General features: G+C 41.4%; 1 long non-coding RNA gene across 1 annotated transcript in view, besides 1 other annotated feature; it reads left to right on the top strand.

Moving 5' to 3' along the window:
* Window positions 1-19,247, top strand: part of LOC105377448 (uncharacterized) — a 192,690-nt gene that overhangs the window by 161,855 nt on the left and 11,588 nt on the right. The gene's annotated exons all lie outside the window — the stretch shown is intronic.
* Window positions 6,637-7,836: an enhancer, noted in NCBI's record as "CDK7 strongly-dependent group 2 enhancer chr4:139764110-139765309 (GRCh37/hg19 assembly coordinates)". NCBI's record gives its function as "activates an origin of replication core promoter dependent on BRD2, BRD4, P300/CBP, MED14 and CDK7 cofactors, with strong dependence on CDK7, by STARR-seq in HCT116 cells {active_cell/tissue: HCT116}" and the evidence as "EXISTENCE:reporter gene assay evidence [ECO:0000049][PMID:35650434]".

Genomic DNA, 19,247 nt, shown 5'->3' with positions numbered 1-19,247 from the left:
ATTTGCATGGGATCATAGGCTTATTATTTCCTTCTTATTTCCATATTGGGGACTACCAAAATACGAAATAATTTTATAAGCATAATTATTTGGCAAGAGGATGGGCTGGATGGTGGAAATATTTTGCCCATAGCTAAAAGTTTCATGCAATAAATGCGGTATGCTGTTGAACGATGATGATACATTCCTATTAGCTGGGACAGTTATGGCCATAACATTTAAAGAAGGTTTAGTCAGAATAGACAAGGGCTGGTGTGGCCAGAGGAAAGCCCCTGGTATTGGGTGGGACCATTTCCATGGTAGGGAGAATGTCCTTGGCCACAATTGGATTCATACTGTACACACGCTATTTGACACAATACTATGTTTTTCCTTACTTTATTAAGTACTGACACTTGTAATGCCTTAGCCCCAGGGAAAGAATCTTTTTCTCTCCTTCTAGTATTACATGTGCTGTTGGGATCTGGGAGAACCCTGTTTCTGTCACTTGTGCTCTAACTTCCTTGGGTGACAGCAATTGAAAATGGATTCAATTGTTTGCAGAAATGAAGTGTTGGAACCCACCTTTATATATATTCCCCCACTGCTTATAAGGGTATCTGAGAGAAGTCCCCAGTACAGTAATATAAGCAAAATACATGTTCCCTGTAAGACCCAGTGATGTCTCAGGGTGCCTCCATTTTTATGATAGTCATCATAGTAACCCACTACTCTTTGAGTGTTTGACATGTGCTAGGCTCTGTGCTACATGCCTTCCACACTTTATCTCATCTGAGCCTCGCCATTCTGTGAAGTGGATACTTTCATGCCATTTTATAGATGATGTCACAGATAGTGACTTGATGTCCTGTGGAGAATCATTGGTTTTTGGCTACAAATATTTGGAGGCTGTGGAGGCAGGAGGGGAAACGGTTTATATAGAAGTCTCTGAATAAATTCATTATCTCCTCAATACCTTCGCATTTATATAACTAGTTTTAATGGATACTTCAGTATTTAGCCTCTATTGTTTGGGATATCACAGAAACATGAGGCACAATCTCTGCCCATAAGATACCTCTAATCTAGTAGATGCATAGGAATAGAACATGAAAATACCACCGTGTGAAACAAACTTGCATTTGGCCTCTTGTGTATGATTAGCTAGTCTTTCTGGGCCTAAGCTGCTTTTTTTAAAAACTAGGTGTTTGGACTAGATTAGAGGTTAGCAAACTTTTTCTGTATAAAGGGCCAGATAGTAAATATTTTAGGCTTTGCAGGCCATATGGTCTCTGTCATAACCATTTAACTTTGCTATTATAGCATGAAAGCAGACAAATATATGTAACAAACAGGCATGGCTGTGTTCAAATTAAACTTTGTGTATAAAACAATTGAAAATAAAAATCAGAGATGCTGGAGAGGATGTGGAGAAATAGGAATGCTTTTACACTGTTGGTGGGAGTGTAAATTAGTTCAACCATTGTGGAAGACAGTGTGGCCATTCCTCAAGATCCAGAACTAGAAATACCATTTGACCCAGTGATCCCATTACTGGGTATGTACCCAAAGCATCATAAATCATGCTACTATAAAGACACATGGACACGTAAGTTTATTGTGGCACTATTCACAACAGCAAAGACTTGGAACGAACTCAAATGTCCATCAATGATAGACTGGATTAAGAAAATGTGGCACATATACACCATGGAATACTATGCAGCCATAAAAAAAGATGAGTTCATGTCCTTTGCAGGGACATGGATGAAGCTGGAAACCATCATTCTGAGCAAACTATCACAAGGATAGAAAACCAAACACCGCATATTCTCACTCATAGGTGGGAACTGAACAATGAGAACACTTGGACACAGGGCAGGGAACATCACACACTGGGGCCTGTTGGGGGATGGAGGGCTATGGGAGGGATAGCATTAGGAGAAATACCTAATGTAAATGATGAGTTGATGGGTGCAGCAAAACAACGTAGCGCATGTATACCTATGTAACAAACCTGCACGTTGTGCACATGTACCCTAGAACTTAAAGTATAATAAAAAAAAAGGTATAGCCCAATTGAGATATACTTTAAGTACAGAACACACACTGGATTTTGAAGACTTAGAATGATAAAATATAAATTATCTCATTAATAATGTTTTCATTCATTGCATGTGAAATAATATTTTAGATGTATTAGGTTAAATAAAATATTTTTAAAAATTAAAAATAAAAATCAGGTGGGCTGGATTTAGCCCATTGCTGATCAGGTGATGATGCCTATAGGCCTTTCTGGCTGGAAAATGCTATAATTTATTTCTCCGTATTCCACATTGATTCCAGCTTTGGAGTATGGGGACATTTCTTTGGCTTTTCTCTTCCTGAGGAGGAGTCTATAAGAAATGGCAATAGAAGTGGTCCTGGAGAGGCACCAGGAGGGATTCCCAGCAATGTTCTGATTGAAATCACAATGGGAGAAAGCCATTAAAAAAGGTGGGGAGAAAGGTCCCATTAATCAGAAATGGGCACTGCTGTTTTAGTTGGAGATCTGGCTATTAGCTCAGCAGGAAGACAAGGAAGACAAGATGGGGTAGGCTGGAAACATGGATTTCCCAGAGGCAGAATGCTAAAAAAATTCTTTTTAGAACAAAGTTGTTATATAAATCCTTATGTAAGTCTTAGAATCCAAGACATAGTCAATAATGAAATTTTGCTCGTATTAGTAAACACAGTCTAACATAACAATCTAACATAAGCATAATAATCTAACACAATGTAAAGAAATTTGATTTTTGTAGAATCTATCTTTTCCATTTGAAAACTCTATCATGTATTATTTCCATATATTTGAATAACTAGATTTTCCAAGACATTAGAATATATGCACAATTGTAGGACTCTTTCTGTTGCAAGTGACATAAAAACCCTGCTCAAACTGACTTAAAAAAAGTAATATATGGGCTTGGAATATAGAACACTGCAAGGGAATACTGGCTTTGGCTGGGAGGGTCTGATCCAGAATATCAAATGAGGTCATCAGGGCTTAGTTTCTTTGTCTCTTTCATTTGTGCCTTTCCCCGCCACTTCTGTTGGTTAAGCTTCATCTTCAGGCTGACTTCTCCCTGGGTAGCAGGATGCTATCACAAGACTCGACTCTTTATATGACCAAATATAGCTAAGGAGCAAGAGCTCTTTGTTCTCAAAAGCCCTAGCATAGTCTCCTCATGTCTCCTTGGCTCTGACTGGGTCATGTGGCCATTCCTAAACCAATCTCTGCAGCCTCAGCCAAGTTGGGCCCACCACATGGTCAAAATGGTGGAGGAGAGATTCCCCAAAGGAGGGCTGAATTGCAATTGCCAAAAAGAGGAAGATGATTGTTGAATGACAAACAGCAGATGTCCAGAGCAATGATACTTCATAATTTTCAAAACACTTTTATGAAGACTAACTCATTTGATTTTACAATGATTTCATGAGAATATCTTTGTCAGGTGTTATTATTTCCATTTTCAGATGAGAACACTAAGGCTCAAATGACGACTTCTTCGAATTTGCAGAGTTGGTGAAGGAGGTTGTGTTACCTTTTCTCTCTTAGTGATGTGATATCTGACCACTGTACAACAGAACCATTACCTCTCCTGTTTTGGACTAGATGTCTATTACTGTCATCTAAAATTCTGTTAGCATTTTGGGCAGCCATATCACACTGGCTTCTCCTGATTTTAAGGCACACACTAAAACCCCGCTAGTTTTTCACGTGATTTCTGGTAAAACATAATGTAGCTAAAATGGCATTTTGAACTTAAGTGCAGGGTTATGTTTATTTTTGTGATATTTCATATAAATTGTTTTCCGTTGCTCCAGCCTAGCAAGAACCTTTGAGTCATGTGGAATTCAAAATATTAACTATTTCTCTCAGATTTATGCCACCTTAAAATTTAACCAGCATTACTTATTTTGTCTTCCAAGTAATTGCTAAGAGGATTGAACAATAAAGATAGGTAATATTGATTAATTACTAATTTTAATCTGGAATGAAGCCTCTAGTGCTACGTCACAGGACTCTTTGGTTGTTCTGCAGCTTTATAACTGATATGGATGGAGGCTAAATTGATATATTGAAAATGCAAATCACTTCACAGATGGAGGATGTCTTCTCATTTGACCTCTTGTCTCACATTTCTAATATTGCAACATTTTGAGATGAAATGCCAAATTATTGGCCTAGAGTCAATGGTAACTATGATTCTGTAAAACCCCTGTATCATTTATCCTGGATACAGTCAGGAAAATTGTAGCTCCTCAGTTAATGTTAAATGCCTGCAATGACAATAATAATAATAAGATAATCACAATGGTGACAGAGCCTCGCAATCTCTGAACATTTGGTAGTAAAGTCCACAACATGTACTCCCCTAGGGGCTTAATTTTCTTTTTCAGATTAGAACAGTGAAATTCTATAACTCAAATGTAAGCTATACAAAGATTTGACTAGAAATATTATCTAGGACTTTTGATTGCCAGTCCAAGGATGCTCAGGCGGGAGAGTGGTGGGTGGGTATTAGAGTCACAGTCATCTGCTGGTAGGAACCAGAGTGAGGCTTTTAACCCCACATACTCCCATCACAGAACTTTAATTTGGGTTTCATTCAAATAGCTTCAGAGAAGGATGAGAGATTTTTATGCATACTAGAATCAGTTATTATTATAATTGATTTAAACAAGATTGAGAAACAATCATTGTAAAGCTTAATTTCTCTAAAAAGACTCCTTTTAGGATTGGTTACAGCCACAGGGCAGACAGGCATGCTGTTACCGCCTCTTTGGGAAGGTGTGGGGAGGGGGCCCTGTTGCTTTCCCCGAGAGGACCACTCCCAGCACTTTCTGTGAAATAGACGAAGGTGACCAGTCGTCTTCTTCCCACGATGACGCGAGCACAGCTATTCCTGGGTTCTATTTACTTCTCCTGTCTCTGCTCCCTCGCCCCCACACTTAGATCTTGTAGAAATGCTGCCACTACTTAGGTATTTCATAGAGAAATTTTGCTTTCAAACTGTAATGAATAGGTTTCAAAGAAAGTGAATGAAAGCTATTCTTTTCTTCCCTTTTCTATGAAGCGATTAGCCATGCAGTCTGGAAAACAGTTGCTATTTAAAAGTAAAAATATTTAGAGAGCAAACATCCTTCCTCTCTTTCCAACTACACTCAGAAAACAGGACAACAGCAGCTTTCTCCCCTCCTGTTCAGTGCCATGGCCCACCCCTCCTCTCCCAGTGTCTCCCTGTGCCCCCCTTTCTCATGCCACTCCTTCCTAGCTACGAGAAAAGATTATCAAGGTGATAATAAGCAAGAAAATGTTCCAGCCTTGTTTTAAGCCTCAGCCACATTGCACTGCTTAAACGAGGTTAAATGCCTTTGTGAACCTGTGTTTTCTAGCCCCTTGGCCATGCAGCCCTAAGCCAGGCTGATCCAGCCTTGTCTCGCCCCTCTCTGCAAGAGACTCGTGGGTACAGGATGATTGAGGGGGCCCCAGCCTCCCCAGCAGCTGCTGACTTGCGCTTGGAAATTCAATCCTCTCAAGGTAATTCCTCAGCTTATAAAAAACTTCTGGCAATGAATTCTGAATTTGATGCCTCCCACTCCAGGCAGGATAATGGCAGACTCGCTGACTTCCACAGACACTGAGCCTGGAATGGGAAGGGAGCGTCATAGTGGATGAAGCACTTTTAAAGGCAGGACTTTTGTGGCCTCATTAGGAGATTTCTAGCTATTTCTAGAACACCAGTCTCAATCTTCTCTCTTCTGAGGTCCTCTAGATCCCAAATGACTTAGGGTCTGTCTGGGCCACCCCTAGGCTGCAAGTGGTCAAGGCTTGTACATCAGAGAGAGCAAAACCGTGCTTTAGTCTTCTCTTGGGTGGACCTGCCTGAGTTGCTTAGAGTGACATCTTGGTGCTAAGTTTGGAGACCAAACTAATTGTGAAAAATATATGGAGTTACCATGTGAGATCTGCCACCGCCTACAAGCTGGTGGACATGGACATCATCGCAAAAGCAGATGGGCTACCAGGCTCAGAGAAATCCCTCTCTGTGCACAAAAGTTGCCTAGAGATTCTGAAATAATCATCTGCCTTTAAGATTCTTTGGATCATTATTCTCAAGTTGTAAGAATTTTCCCTTCTTTCTCTTCACCACCCCAAAGACTGTCCAGTCCCCAAAGGCAGCAAATCCCTGTGGTGGTTGCAGATGCTGCTGTGACAGTCCTCAGCTTCCTCTTGGGGATGGCTTTGCTATGTGAGGTTTGAATGTCCTTATTGTCCCCTAAAGCTTCAGCTCGAAGTCTCAGGATGTGTTTTGGTGAGTGCAAAACCCAATAGTCATTGAACCCTTGATAATCTTTTATGCCCTGTAGAAGTATGTTTTTATTCATCCGTTTCTTCAGGAGGTAAGAAATAAAGCTGTTCCATTCTAGGCATAAATTAGCATTTATAACAATGCAGTGCAAAAAAATGTAATTTAAATAGAACTGATTAGAATTTTGATAGGGCACCAAGGAACTTCTAAACAAATGCTGATCAGGTAATGAGTGGGACAAGTCATTTATTTTAGTGGTTCAGTTATCTGTTCAGTGATTGGGTCACAGTTTCCCAAACATATACGGTGACTGTTCATTAATTATGCACTTCTCACTCAGTAATTGTCCAATTTAACTAAAAACTGTGAGCTTATAGGCAAAGCCACAGAGGACAGCAGAGGGAAAAAGTAACAACCTAGATAAAAGTATATTTTCTTTTTGTAATAACATTTACTAACTCAAGGACTGGGCGAGAGGGAAGCTATTGTTAGACTTTGGCCTTGGTCTTGTCTTTATACAACAGACTAAATTGCTCCCCATTTGTTAAGCAGGGACATTTAAGCTCCAGAGTGCCGAGCTTTGCAAATGAGGCTACACGAGTTGGCATTCAGCCTGTCTTCGCAGGTATAGCCTCACCTTTGGATCAGTCTGCAACATGACGAACGCTATTAGTTGAATCACACGTTTTTCTTCAGGTGCATCATCCTGGAAAATGTTCTGAATCAGTCTGAAAGGTTAATATGCAGGATTTTTCTCCTTTGATAGGTTGGAGGTTTTTCTTTTATTAAGAAGAATGGAATGTTTCCTTGTTATTTCATGGTAGTCCAGCTCACATCTGGCACATTCTTGATATGGTGGCTCCTCCACTGTATCATTAGTCAATGTTCTGTTTTACTTATTGATCATCTTTACTGGTAATGAAAAATCAGTTTATCACCCATGTTGTCTCGATATAATCTGGATGTTAGTAGGATGTCACTTTCTGGAATGCAGATGAGAAATTAAGCCTAGGAAAGGTAATAATTTAAACAGGTAATAATTTGCTCAGGATGAAACATTGTTTGTAAAGGAAGAATCACCAGTCTGTTATAGTACTAGTGTTGTCCACCTCACCCCAGGTATTTTCAGGTGTTTTCTTGTATGAAGGACTTCCAGGCATGTAGCTCTACAACGAGAGTCCTGCTTTGAATGAGCACCTACTGTATGAGACAGGTGAGAAGAAAGGGCTAATGTAGTCCCATGGTCTGGTGGGCTAATGCTTGGCACAGTGATTTGTGTGAGTGACACTTGTCTTTATTTATGTTGCTGCCTGAAAAGAGAACACCTTCTGTCCTCCTGTCCTTTGGGTAATGGCTGAATGCAAAGCAAGCATCTAAGGCAGTACCCAGTGGAGGCATCTAATACATTGCTCGTCATTACTGAATTAATAAAGCTGGGGACTAGATAAGGCCCAAATGCAGGCAGTAGAGTGACAAGTGGGTGTACAGAATTTCCTTCCTGTTGGAAAACAACAGCAAATATCTCCCAGAGAGACTCTTTGTTGCCCAAACTTACTGTACCAATGGGGAAGAAAAAATGAAAGTTTGTCATTGCTGGAAGAATTTACAGTGTTCTAGCTTCGTGTTTGTAAAATGTGACCATCATTTGAACACCTATGTCTTCTAACATGTGTCAATCCATTTTACAGCTGAGTAAACTAAGGCAAAGGGGTTGGGGGGAAAGATTGCCATACTCACAAAATAATTCTGAGGCCCGGGAGAAATAAGGACCAACTGTCCACCTCAAAGCAAGTTTAAACTGCCTTTGCTCATGCATATCCCTGTGCCTCTCTTTTAAAATAAAGTGAAAAAGGAATGAGATATATTAGAGATTGCTGATATTATTTTCTACAGTGATGTTTTTGGTTTAATGAATTATGATATTTAGAATAGGCTAAGAGAATTTATTACCTTAAGACAAACCAATGGCAAATGGATAAAATATTTGGTTTGGGGTAATTTATTTCCTCTGCCTATGTTAACTCTTGAGCAATTAACTAGATTATTTCCCTAATGTGAACAATGACTATATTCATACTAAACAATTAATTGAACAATTGTTCCAGGGTAAGCACTTACTTTATTATTTTTTCCTTCTCCTCATGTCACCTCCTTTTCCACACAAGCCTGGCTCTCTCTGTAAGAGCAATTTCCACAGCATAATGACTATGTGAAGATTGTAAGATCTCAAAAAATCATAGCAAGGAACTATGGCTGCACATTTATTCTCAGCAGATCTCCACATATCTTTGGATTTTTATGTTGTGCTTACTTTACAATCACTGAGTTCCATGTTATAATGTCTCCATTATTTTGGTGGGCATATTAGAGCTGATTGTTTCTCTCAGCAGCCTTCAACCGCCCCCTGTGAGACCTCCACAGCTTACCTTATCATAATATTGGAAAGCAATTTCTCTTGACTGCTGTGAACCAACGCCGGAAATCCAAAATGCTGCTACAGTCATTAAGTGATTTCCAATTAGTTAATTGGTTTCACAGGCTGCTTCTCTCTAAACTGCACCTTAAATGAAAAGCAGAACCATCCATTTTTGAAAGAGGAAAAAGTCCTGGGGCCTTTGGTTTTTAAAATCCTAAAGCACAGCATTCTTTGGAAGAAACTTCAGTAAAAACACCAGTCCTACAGAAGAGAAAATGTTATTACTATTACCCTAGAAAAAGAATGGAATCACTCTTTTGGCTTTCCCACATTGTCCAGGGTTTATTTTGCCCACTTTAACATTAGATCAAAGGAAGACAGACAGATTATCACAGAACAGCACAGCACATGGAGACTTTCTTGATCAACACTAGTTCTTTTCTAGGGAAGCTTCCTGAGCCTCTGTGTTAGGTGCCCCAGGGCTGTTTAAGCTTGGCTGCTCTGGGATGCTATATTAAACCTCACTGAGCAGTAGGGGAGAGTGCTTGAGAATGGTTCTGCAAGAAGCTGCTTTTTGGAATGGGAATGGGAGGTGATTATGTCTATGGACTGACAAAGGGAATGGATTGAAGGAAGCATGAGAAGTTGGTCTAGAATATTTCTTGTCAACACACATGTTGTTAATGTTAATGGTGGGGCCATAAACACAAGTTGTGAACAATATTTGATTTACACAATGGGGCAAATAAAATAGGATAAACACCCAAGAGGGTAAATAGGATAATAACTGATTTACCCAGTAGGGTAAATGTTTAATCTGTTTTCCCTGATAGAGAAAACTTGGCTTTAATAGTAGATAAAATGCATACAAAAATAAATGCAAATTTTCCTCTCTATTAGACAAAGATGCAATCCATCAAATCAGAAACTGCGGAGTGTAGTAGCTAGAAGCATGGACTCTGGAGCTGGACTATCTGCGTGGACATCCTGATAGTCACTTTCCAGTTGTGAGATTTTGGGCACGTTTGCTCCAGCCTCCTGGGAAGTGGAGGACAAGGATGATACCATCCTCACAGGGTTGTTATGAGGAGTAAACTGGTGGTTACGGAGCTAGAGGTCATCATCCTAAGCAAATTAAAGCAGGAACAGAAAACCAAATACTGCATGTTCTCATAGATAAGTGGGAACTAAACATAGAGACACATGGACATAAACATGGGGACAACAGGCACTGCGGGCTACTGGAGGAGAAGGGAGGAATGGAAGGGGCTGTGGGTTGAAAAACCACCTACTGGGTACTATTCTCACTACCTGGGTGCAATATACCCATGTAACAAACCCACACATGTACCCCCTGTATCTAAAATAGAAGCTGAAATAAAACAAATCCCTTAGAACCAGAGCTGATACATTCTTAAATAAACCAAATTTTATAATATGGCATGTTTTGAAAGATTCACCTTTTGATCTCTCCTTTGAAGAAAACCTCTCATTTTATGGTTAATTATCCATGAGAACCAATTCTCCAAGGAGGGCAATAGATAAGATGCCGCCGGCCCCATCAGTTGGTCAGTCCATCTGTCAGTCACCTGTACTCCCTGCCATCAGCTCTTTAAGTCAATTTCATTCCTCCAAACTCACCCAGTGCCTGATCTTTTTGTTAAAGAGTAATGCTTATGTATAGAAGTAGATTAAATTGGAAAGGTAGAGGAGGCAGTGATTGGAATATTGGGTCAGAAAAAGGCAATGAGCTTCATTGTGTGTTCTTGTGTGTGTGTGTGTGTGTGTGTGTGTGTGTGTGTGTGTGTGTGTGTGGAGAGAGAGAGAGAGGAGACAGACACATAAACACACAGACACAACCCAGAGACACACATATGCATACACAGCCGGTAGGAACAGAAAAATCTTCCATGTGAGCAGGGACCATGCATGAGAGAATCAGTTCACTGGTGAGAAGGAAATCAGGGATGCGAGAGGGGTAAGGGAAGCAAAGAAAGGAGCTGAGGACGGAAAGCCCCATCCCTGGCTCTGGTGCCTTCGTGTCAGCTTTAGAAGCAGTTGGTTCATCATTTCAGCAGCCTGGAGTCCTTTAGTAATGACTTTATGGATTAAAATTTAAAACCAAATTAAATGTGTTTACAAAACAGCACCCACACTGAATTGATAACGAGCTGCCAAAGTTGGGCTTGTAATGATCTCAATCCAGAGCTCTGACATGCTGCACGTGCCGGTGATGGTCCGAGTGCTGTTCACGTGGGTAAAACTGCAGCCACCCTTTATCCTGTGTCATTCCCCCCTCCTGCCGCCCTCCCACCCCGGCCCCCGGCCTAAGTGTAGCACTTTTAGGTGATATGCTGGTAGGCGCGAGTAATGCATTTATTTATAGGCACATATTTGCTGGTCTTGAGAGTAGTAACTCTGTTAGAAATTTGTTAGCTTTTTTTGGTTTGTTTTTAAAATTTTTCTTTTTAGGTTTCCTTATGCAGCACATCCATTCTGGCTGAAACCATGTTTTGAGAATACTAAGTATAGGGAAATCTCGTAATTACATATGATTTTTGATATTGTGTACTTTGAAAGTGAAATGTTTTCAGGGATGATGGGTCCCTCTGCCTCCTTCCCCTGCAGCTCCTTCATTTCTAACCACCTTGTTATTTCAGAGAGGGAGAATCTTTCATTCCGGTTTTATGGAATAGAATGATTTTTCTACTCATATTTTGTTTTTAGAACAAGAACTGCTCTTTCAAGTTGTTAATCAGTATAAAGGAAAGGAGGCATCAAAGGGAATGCTGTTGTGTCCTTTCTAAAGGGAGCAATATGTTTTCTTGTAATGAAGTATATCGATAGATTTATTTCTATGGTCCATGAAGACAATTAGGACTCAATAAATATTAAATCAATCAGCAAATAACCTTTTCCTGCCCTCGAGGAACTTATGATCTACTGAAACAAGATGAATGGCACGCATCTTTATCTTTTTAACATCCTTTTGCCCTCTATTTATGGGAAACAAACTCTCAAGAATTCCCATCCAGGGATCCTGAAGAGGTTTGGCCTGTTATCCACTTAAAATCATTTATCAGCCAATGAGAAGATGCTTTGGAGTTATTACCTGAGCAGCAATATTGCATGTGAAATGGCTCCCTTAAAAAAGAGTTAATTTCTAAAAACAACACCAGAACTAAAGACTGTGTGGCTGATGGTGATGGCCGAATGGTCTGCAGTGTGTCTGCAGGGTAAGGAGAGGGGCGCGGGTACTCTGGGATAAGACTCTGTCATCTGTTAATCTCAAGACGTAAAACCACAATTCAATTACATGGGATTCCATGCTAATATTCCTCTTGTCAATGGCTTTTCTGTTTCAGAAGGTAGCAGAATCCCACCGTAGAGTCAATGTGTGTCTAAAGCCCGATTAACTGTATTGTGGTGCACATGGAATATTTAGTCTCTGGATATTATTTATGTTGAGACAGGAGCAGTCTTGGGGGACTGGAGATGCATTAAACCCCACACAATTAACAGACAATCTTTTCCTTCCAGAGAGGCCCTGTGTTGCTGTCTGGGCTCCGGTGGCCCTGGGTAAGCTCTTGGCTTCTTCCTGACCTGCAGTAAGCCTGCTCTTCCTGCTTACGATGCATTAGAAAGAAACAAAATGAGCTTGTTTGAATCGATATTGGGCATTAAGCAGCTTCTGGGCTTTATGTCAGGGTCTCTGGTAGGAGAGGTTATCTTCTGTTTCCACTGGGGTTTGGGTGGCAGGAAATTTAAGACAAAATGGGCTAGAAGTTTAATCCTGGGATGCATTTAGTCTTGTGACTGTTAGCTGGCTCTCAAGTTTTTACGAAGTGCCTTAGTCAACAGGAGGGAAGGCGATGTCCTCAGTTAACATCTCATCTTTTCCCACCGCTCTGCCTCTTTTAACCTTGCCCCTTTCACCTGGAATGTGCTTCCTTCTCCCTTGAGATGCCCAATCTCAGCTCATTCTTCAAGAGACAGCGAAAAATGCCACGTTGGTCTTCCTTGGTGCCTTCCTTCATTAACTCTGTAACCACCCACCTCCCCACAAAAAAAACATACCCAGGAAGCATCATAGTATTAAAAAAAGCCGACTTTTTTGGACTAGATAGGTCTGAGTTTACCTTCTAGACCTTACAGTTAGTAGGTGTGCTCACCTGATAAGGCTACCTGTCCACTTTTAGCTTTGCTTTTCCTTAACTGTAAAATGGGGATGATGCCACTAGGGTTTTTAGGAGAATTAAATGATGTATTAGTCTGTTTTCATGCTGTTGATAAAGACATACCTGAGACTCATTTATAAAGAAAAAGAGGTTTAATGGATTCACAGTTCCACGTGGCTGGGAAAGCCTCACAACCATGGCAGACATGGCCTCATGTCTTACGTGGCGGCAAGAAAGAAAGAAAGAGAGCCAAGCAAAAGGGGAAACCTCTTATAAAACCATCAGATCTGGTGAGACTTATTCACTGCCATGAGAACAGTATGGGGGAAACTGCCCCCATGATTCAGTTATCTCCCACTGGGTCCTTCCCACGATGTGTGGGAATTATGGGAGTACAATTCAAGATGAGATTGGGTGGGGACACAGCAAAACCATATCGAATGATGTCACCAAGTACAGGGCCTGGCAGAGAATACTCTATAGATGTTATTCCTTCAGTTTTCCCTAGTTCATTCAGCTAACCGTAATTCTTAATCTTTTTGGGGTCATGGATCTGTTTGAGAATCTGATGAGAACTATGGTTTCTTCTCTCAGAAAAAAACATACATGTAAATACATATAAAAATTTTCAGACCGGGCGCGGTGGCTCATGCCTGTAATCCCAGCACTTTGGGAGGCCGAGGCGGGCGGATCACAAGGTCAGGAGTTCGAGACCATCCTGCCGAGCATGGTGAAACCCCGTCTCTACTAAAAATACAAAAAAATTAGCCAGGCGTGGTGGCGGGCACCAGTAGTCCCAGTTACTCGGGAGGCTGAGGCAAGAGAATGGCGTGAACCCAGGAGGCAGAGCTTGCAGTGAGCCAAGATCACGCCAATGCACTCCAGCCTGGGCGACAGAGTGAGACTCCATCTCAAAAAAAAAAAAAAATGTTCAGACAATTCTAGGAACTTCAGGGATCACTAGATCCCTATAGTCCCAATAAGAATCCATTAGGGGTGGTTTTGATCCCTAAGGGGTTAATCACCCCCACTTCCTTCCAATAGCCAATTTATGCAAAACACCTGAAAAGGGACCTGCCACTTAGGAGGGGCTGAACAAATACTAGTCAATCTGCCAGTTTCTAAATTACAATTAGAACTCACCCCATACCTGGAGAAAATCTAGCTCTAATTTTTCCTTATATTTAGTTTTGAGAAGCTGTCGTGTGCAAGTGACAGAAATACCTCTGAGCAGAGAGTCTAGTCCTTGACTGACATGTCTTCCAGCTGGCCTGCCATACCTTGTTTGAACAAATTTGGCCTTTTCAAAAAAATATTCCCTTTCTTGTCGTACTCTACCCTGCAGTCCTGTGTGTGCTGCTACCCAGCCAGGATTTGTGTTCTGCTGACATCTCTCTCTCCGCTCCCTGTATGGAATTTATAGCAATTATCCTTTGGTTGGTCCCAGTGTCTGTATTTTGGCAGGCCGCCCTGTCTTCCATGTGATAACTGCTTTGCAGACAGTGCAGCCGAGGCTCTGCCAAAGCCTAATGTCACCCTTTGTCAGATGCTGTCTGGGTCCAAGGGTCACCGACACCTGCCCCTCCCCTCCTCATGTCTGCTGGTGCAGGTTCCCCTTGCACTATATTTAAAAGCACACAATGCTGTGTGGGGCTGGCTGTGATCCAGTTCATTTGAACAAAGTTAGCAGTGAACCTGGATAATTCAGGCACCTCGAAATGTTTTTTATGGCCCGCACTACCTGGATTGGTTTGTCTGGCTGTGTACTGCAAGTAAATGAACTGGATAATCGCCGTATTTCTATTCCACTCCGTGCTGTGTAGCCTGTGCCTCTGGAAACAAAAGTTTTCTCTAAAACAAAGTCATTTCTCAAGAACAATTATGCCCCCTGGGGGTGAATATCTTTGTCAATGTGTGCCAAAGTATGACTAAACAAATTGGCTCAAAAAGTAGGTTTTCCCCATTTGACTTTCATTTGATAGTTTCATCAAAGATCAATGAGGACAACAGAAACCTCTAAAAACAAAAACCAAACCAAAGTTTTCTCCCCACTTCCCCTAAGTCCTTCTTATTGATGTGCTCCAAGCCAACTGTATGTTTCAGGCTTTATTTTGTTATTCTATGGCTGCATTTATTTTATTTTAATTAAAAATGTAAAATTTGTATATATTTGGGGGTACATGTGTAGATTTCTTACATGCATATATTGCATAGTGGTGAAGTCTGGGCTTTTCGTGTATCCATCGCCTGAATAGTGAACACTGTGTTCATTACTCAAATAGGTAAGATTTCAACCCTCACCCCCTTCCCACCCTCCCACCTTTTGTAGTCTCCAGTGTCTACTATTCCACTGTGTATACCCATTGCATATTCATTCTTATAAGTGAGAACATACATTATTTTACTGTCTGTTTCTGAGTTATTACACTTAGGATAATGGCTTCCAGTTCCATCCATGCTGCTACAAAAGACATGATTTCAGTCTTTTTTATGGCTACGTAATATTCCATGGTATATATGTTTTCTTTACCCAGTCCTCTGTTGATGAAGACTTAGGGTGATTCTGTCTTTCCTATCGTGAATGGTGCTGCAATAGGCATACAAGTGCAGGTATCTTTTTGATGTAATGATTTCTTTCCCTTTGGATATATACCCAGTAGTGGATTACTGGATCAAATGGTAGTTCTATTTTTAGTTCTTTGAGAAATCTTCATAAGGTCTTTATGGCTGCACTTTAGGCATCTGCATCAGTGCATTTAAAGATGCTGTGGAGCACTGCTTTTCAAACTTTAATGTGCATTCAGATGAACTGGTAATCTTGTTAAAATGCAGATTCTGATTCTGTGGATATGGGGTGGGACCTGAGAGCCTGCATTTCTAGCCAGCTCCCAGGTGATGCCATTGTTACTGGTTCATGGGCAAATCTTAGAGAAGTGAGACTATAGCTTTCTTCCGCAAGATACCTGCACACAGCCATCAAGCCTGTCCCAACACATGCCAGCCTATGTGACCTCTTTAGGTTCTCTACCTGGCCTGCTGTTTGTCATAACCCAATTCTGTTTTCTTACAGCAAATCTTAGTGAAAAGGCTCTGGTCTTGAGAGAAGAGCCATCAAATTTTAATGAAATCAAGGCGGTATATACCTAGACACAAGATATTATCCACAAAGACACCTCTTTACCTGCAAGCCCTCATTGGCTTCTCACTAGTTATCTAAACTTCTAAGTAGAAAATCGTTCATTACTCAAATTTAGAACAGCCTAGAAAAGTACAATGAATGTTAATTTTCAAAGTCTTGAGTATTGAGGTAGCAATTTTTGGAGCTTTAGTTCAAGACAAGAACATCTCTGCTCATATCTATTCATTCTTTTTGCCACTCCTATTAAATGTCATTCTTTTTTGTTTGTTCGATTTATGTTTCTTAGAAAACCACCTGAACTGTTTTCTGGAATGAATTGGGTGTATATTAGCAAATTATTTATGTAAACATTTATTCTTTCAACACTGAGTGTCCACTATGTATAAAAAATTGTGGTAGTGACTTTGCTTCTAAGTTAATAAAGCAAACCATTAACCTCTGTGGGTTTTCATTTCACATCTGAATAATGAAGGGCTGGACTGGATGATCCTGAGCTGTCTGAGACTGTGTCATTCTAAGAACTGGGAGAAGCTGAAGCAATAACATTCTGCCTGTTTGTGGCTTTTTACTGTCCAACACAAAGGCTTTTCTTAGCTTTTTCTTTTCCACAGTGAAGCAGAGAAGGCACGAGCTTTCTGTTTGTGTGTTTCATGGCCATGTGGCGATAAATAAGGAAGCAGTGCTTCCCTATGGTAACGTGGCTTTTTTTTTTTCTTGAGTAGAAAAGTATTCCTATTAAAAAAAATCCTACACAGTATTTCTATATGTAAAAGTGAGCCTATCACGTGGGCCTTCCCTTGCCCCCCAGGGTGGTTCCAAAGACACCCTAGATCTCTGTGGAAGACAGATGGAAAACCACTGTCCTTAAGTAAGTTCTCTAAGAGCCAGACTCCAAACTGCTCCATGCTGTTTCTGTGTAAATAGTGCTGGGGGTGGGAAATCTAATTTAGGAAATAAATGTTTCAGGGCATGGAAATCTGAGTACGTCTAGGGACATGAGGAATGAGGAGTACAGAGGGGCCATTTCCTTTTGAGGACAGTAAGGGAAACAGGTAGGGCCTGGCACCTGTGCACAAAGCTGAACAGAGCAGGCCTTTAACACCTCACAGTTCTTCCCGTGCAAGGGATGGATTTTATTTTCATAAGGGAGACGCTGACCTCTGGGCTGGGCTTGAAGCAAGAATGAAGGGTGGAGAGAGAGCAGGAGAGAGGGAGAAGGAGACAGAGAGAGAGAGAGAGAGAGAGGAGAGGAGAGAGAGAGAGAGAGAATGGGAGAAATGTACCCAGTCTTTACTCCCTGGAGAGAGAGAGAGAGAGAGAGAGAGAATGGGAGAAATGTACCTAGTCTTTACTCCCTGCAGAGAGAGAGAGAGAGAGAGAGAGAGAGAGAGAGAGAATGGGAGAAATGTACCCAGTCTTTACTCCCTGGGTCTGGTGGGCAGGAAATTAGGCAGAGCTGCTGGGAGCCTATGATGGATGGTGCGGAGGGGCCTCTCCTGTCCTTGTACTGCATCCGTTCCGTTCACATTGGGTTGGCTTTGGAAGTCCCAATCTGCAAACTACAGGGGCTGGGTAAAGACTCTAAATCAAGTATTTCTGTCTTTACTGACCCTGTTGTCTGTGAAATGCTTAAGCACTGAGTGAAAAGAGGAGTCCTAGTTTTTACTTAAGCCAGTGGAGCATAAGCCATGTTATGGCCTTTAGGCAAATGGCTTTTTACTATATATATATACACACACACACACACACACACACACACACACACACACACACACAGAGACACACTTCCTCCCCCCCACACCCTTTTCTTACAGTATGACTAAAAGCGAAGTGTTCCTTTTCTGCTGTTGTGAAGGCTGCTGTCTACTTGAGTTGCTTCTGTAGCAAGAACAGTCAGTGTCATTAATTTTTTCCCTGTACTGTGTGGGCTGGGAACATGAAACTGACTTGATTGATCACATTGCCACTTCAAAACAGGAGGCTTCAGAGGCAGGTGGGTGAGTGGGTTGGTGAAATACTTCAGAGAGTTAATGCATTTGTGTAGTTATCAGCAGTACCACCCTTTGGTAGATGGATGACAGTTTGGATCAGCTTGAGTGTGAGGGGCTGGGGTAAAAATCAAGATGGAAAGAGAGAAGTGAGGTGAAACTAAAGGGAGAAAATGACTGTGCCTCAGCCCCACTAAAGCTGTGATTATGACCTGGACAGTGGGTGTTCCCTTGAAAGGAGAGCATGGGCAGATTTGTGCATGACTGGAGGGTGAGCCAGGGTAGGGATGGAGCTGGAAATCATATCTTATAAGGAAGAGATCACAGAACAAGCCTCTTTAATGGCAAAAAAGAAATTTCTACTTTTGTGTGTGTCCTCTTTATTGTATCAGTTCTTGAAAGGCTGTTGCAGTGAAGGGATTTGGGATTCTGTGTGGCTTCCAAGGAAGAATTGGAGCCTATTTTGGCTCCATTGAAAGAGGACTGTTTAAACCGAAAGGGCAGCTTCTTATAAGGGTGAATTTCTCCTCATGCCACAGTTCAAGCCAATGCTTTAAGGGATATGCATGGACTGGGATGTATTTGGCCTGCACGACCTCTAGAGGCCTTTAGAAGACTGTCAAAGATTCCATGACATTTCATAAATGTCCTCCCCATCTCCCATAACAACTCAAGGACAATTTCTGGCCTTCCTGAAACTATATATCCTACCCTGGACAGAATCTAGTTTTCTGTGAAAGTGGAGTCTTAATACAATAGCCTGTTTTCCCTTTAAGAAATAAGAAAATTGGCCAGACATGGTGGCTGACACCTGTAATGCCAGCACTTTGGGAGGCCAAGCCAGGCGGATCACCAGAGGTCAGGAGTTCGAGACCAGCCTGGCCAACATGGTGAAACCCGATCTCTACTAAAAATACAAAAAATTAGCTGGGCATGGTGGTGTGAACTTGTAGTCCCAGCTGCCTGGAAGGCTGAGACAGAAGAATCACTTGAACCCAAGAGGCGGAAGTTGCAGTGAACTGGGATTGTGCCACTGCACTCCAGCCTCCAGCCTCCAGCCTGGGCAACAGAGACAGAGAGACCCTGTCTCAAAACAAAACAAAAACAACCCCCTTCCCCCAAACACAAAACCCAAACAAACAAGAAATAAGAAAATTAAAAATCTTAGTTTCATGTAGTTGTAGTATAGGA

This window comes from Homo sapiens, chromosome 4 (genome assembly GCF_000001405.40).
Source record: "Homo sapiens chromosome 4, GRCh38.p14 Primary Assembly".
In the NCBI taxonomy this organism is placed as follows: Eukaryota; Metazoa; Chordata; class Mammalia; order Primates; family Hominidae; genus Homo; species Homo sapiens.
This window is presented reverse-complemented; position numbering and strand designations above follow the sequence as displayed.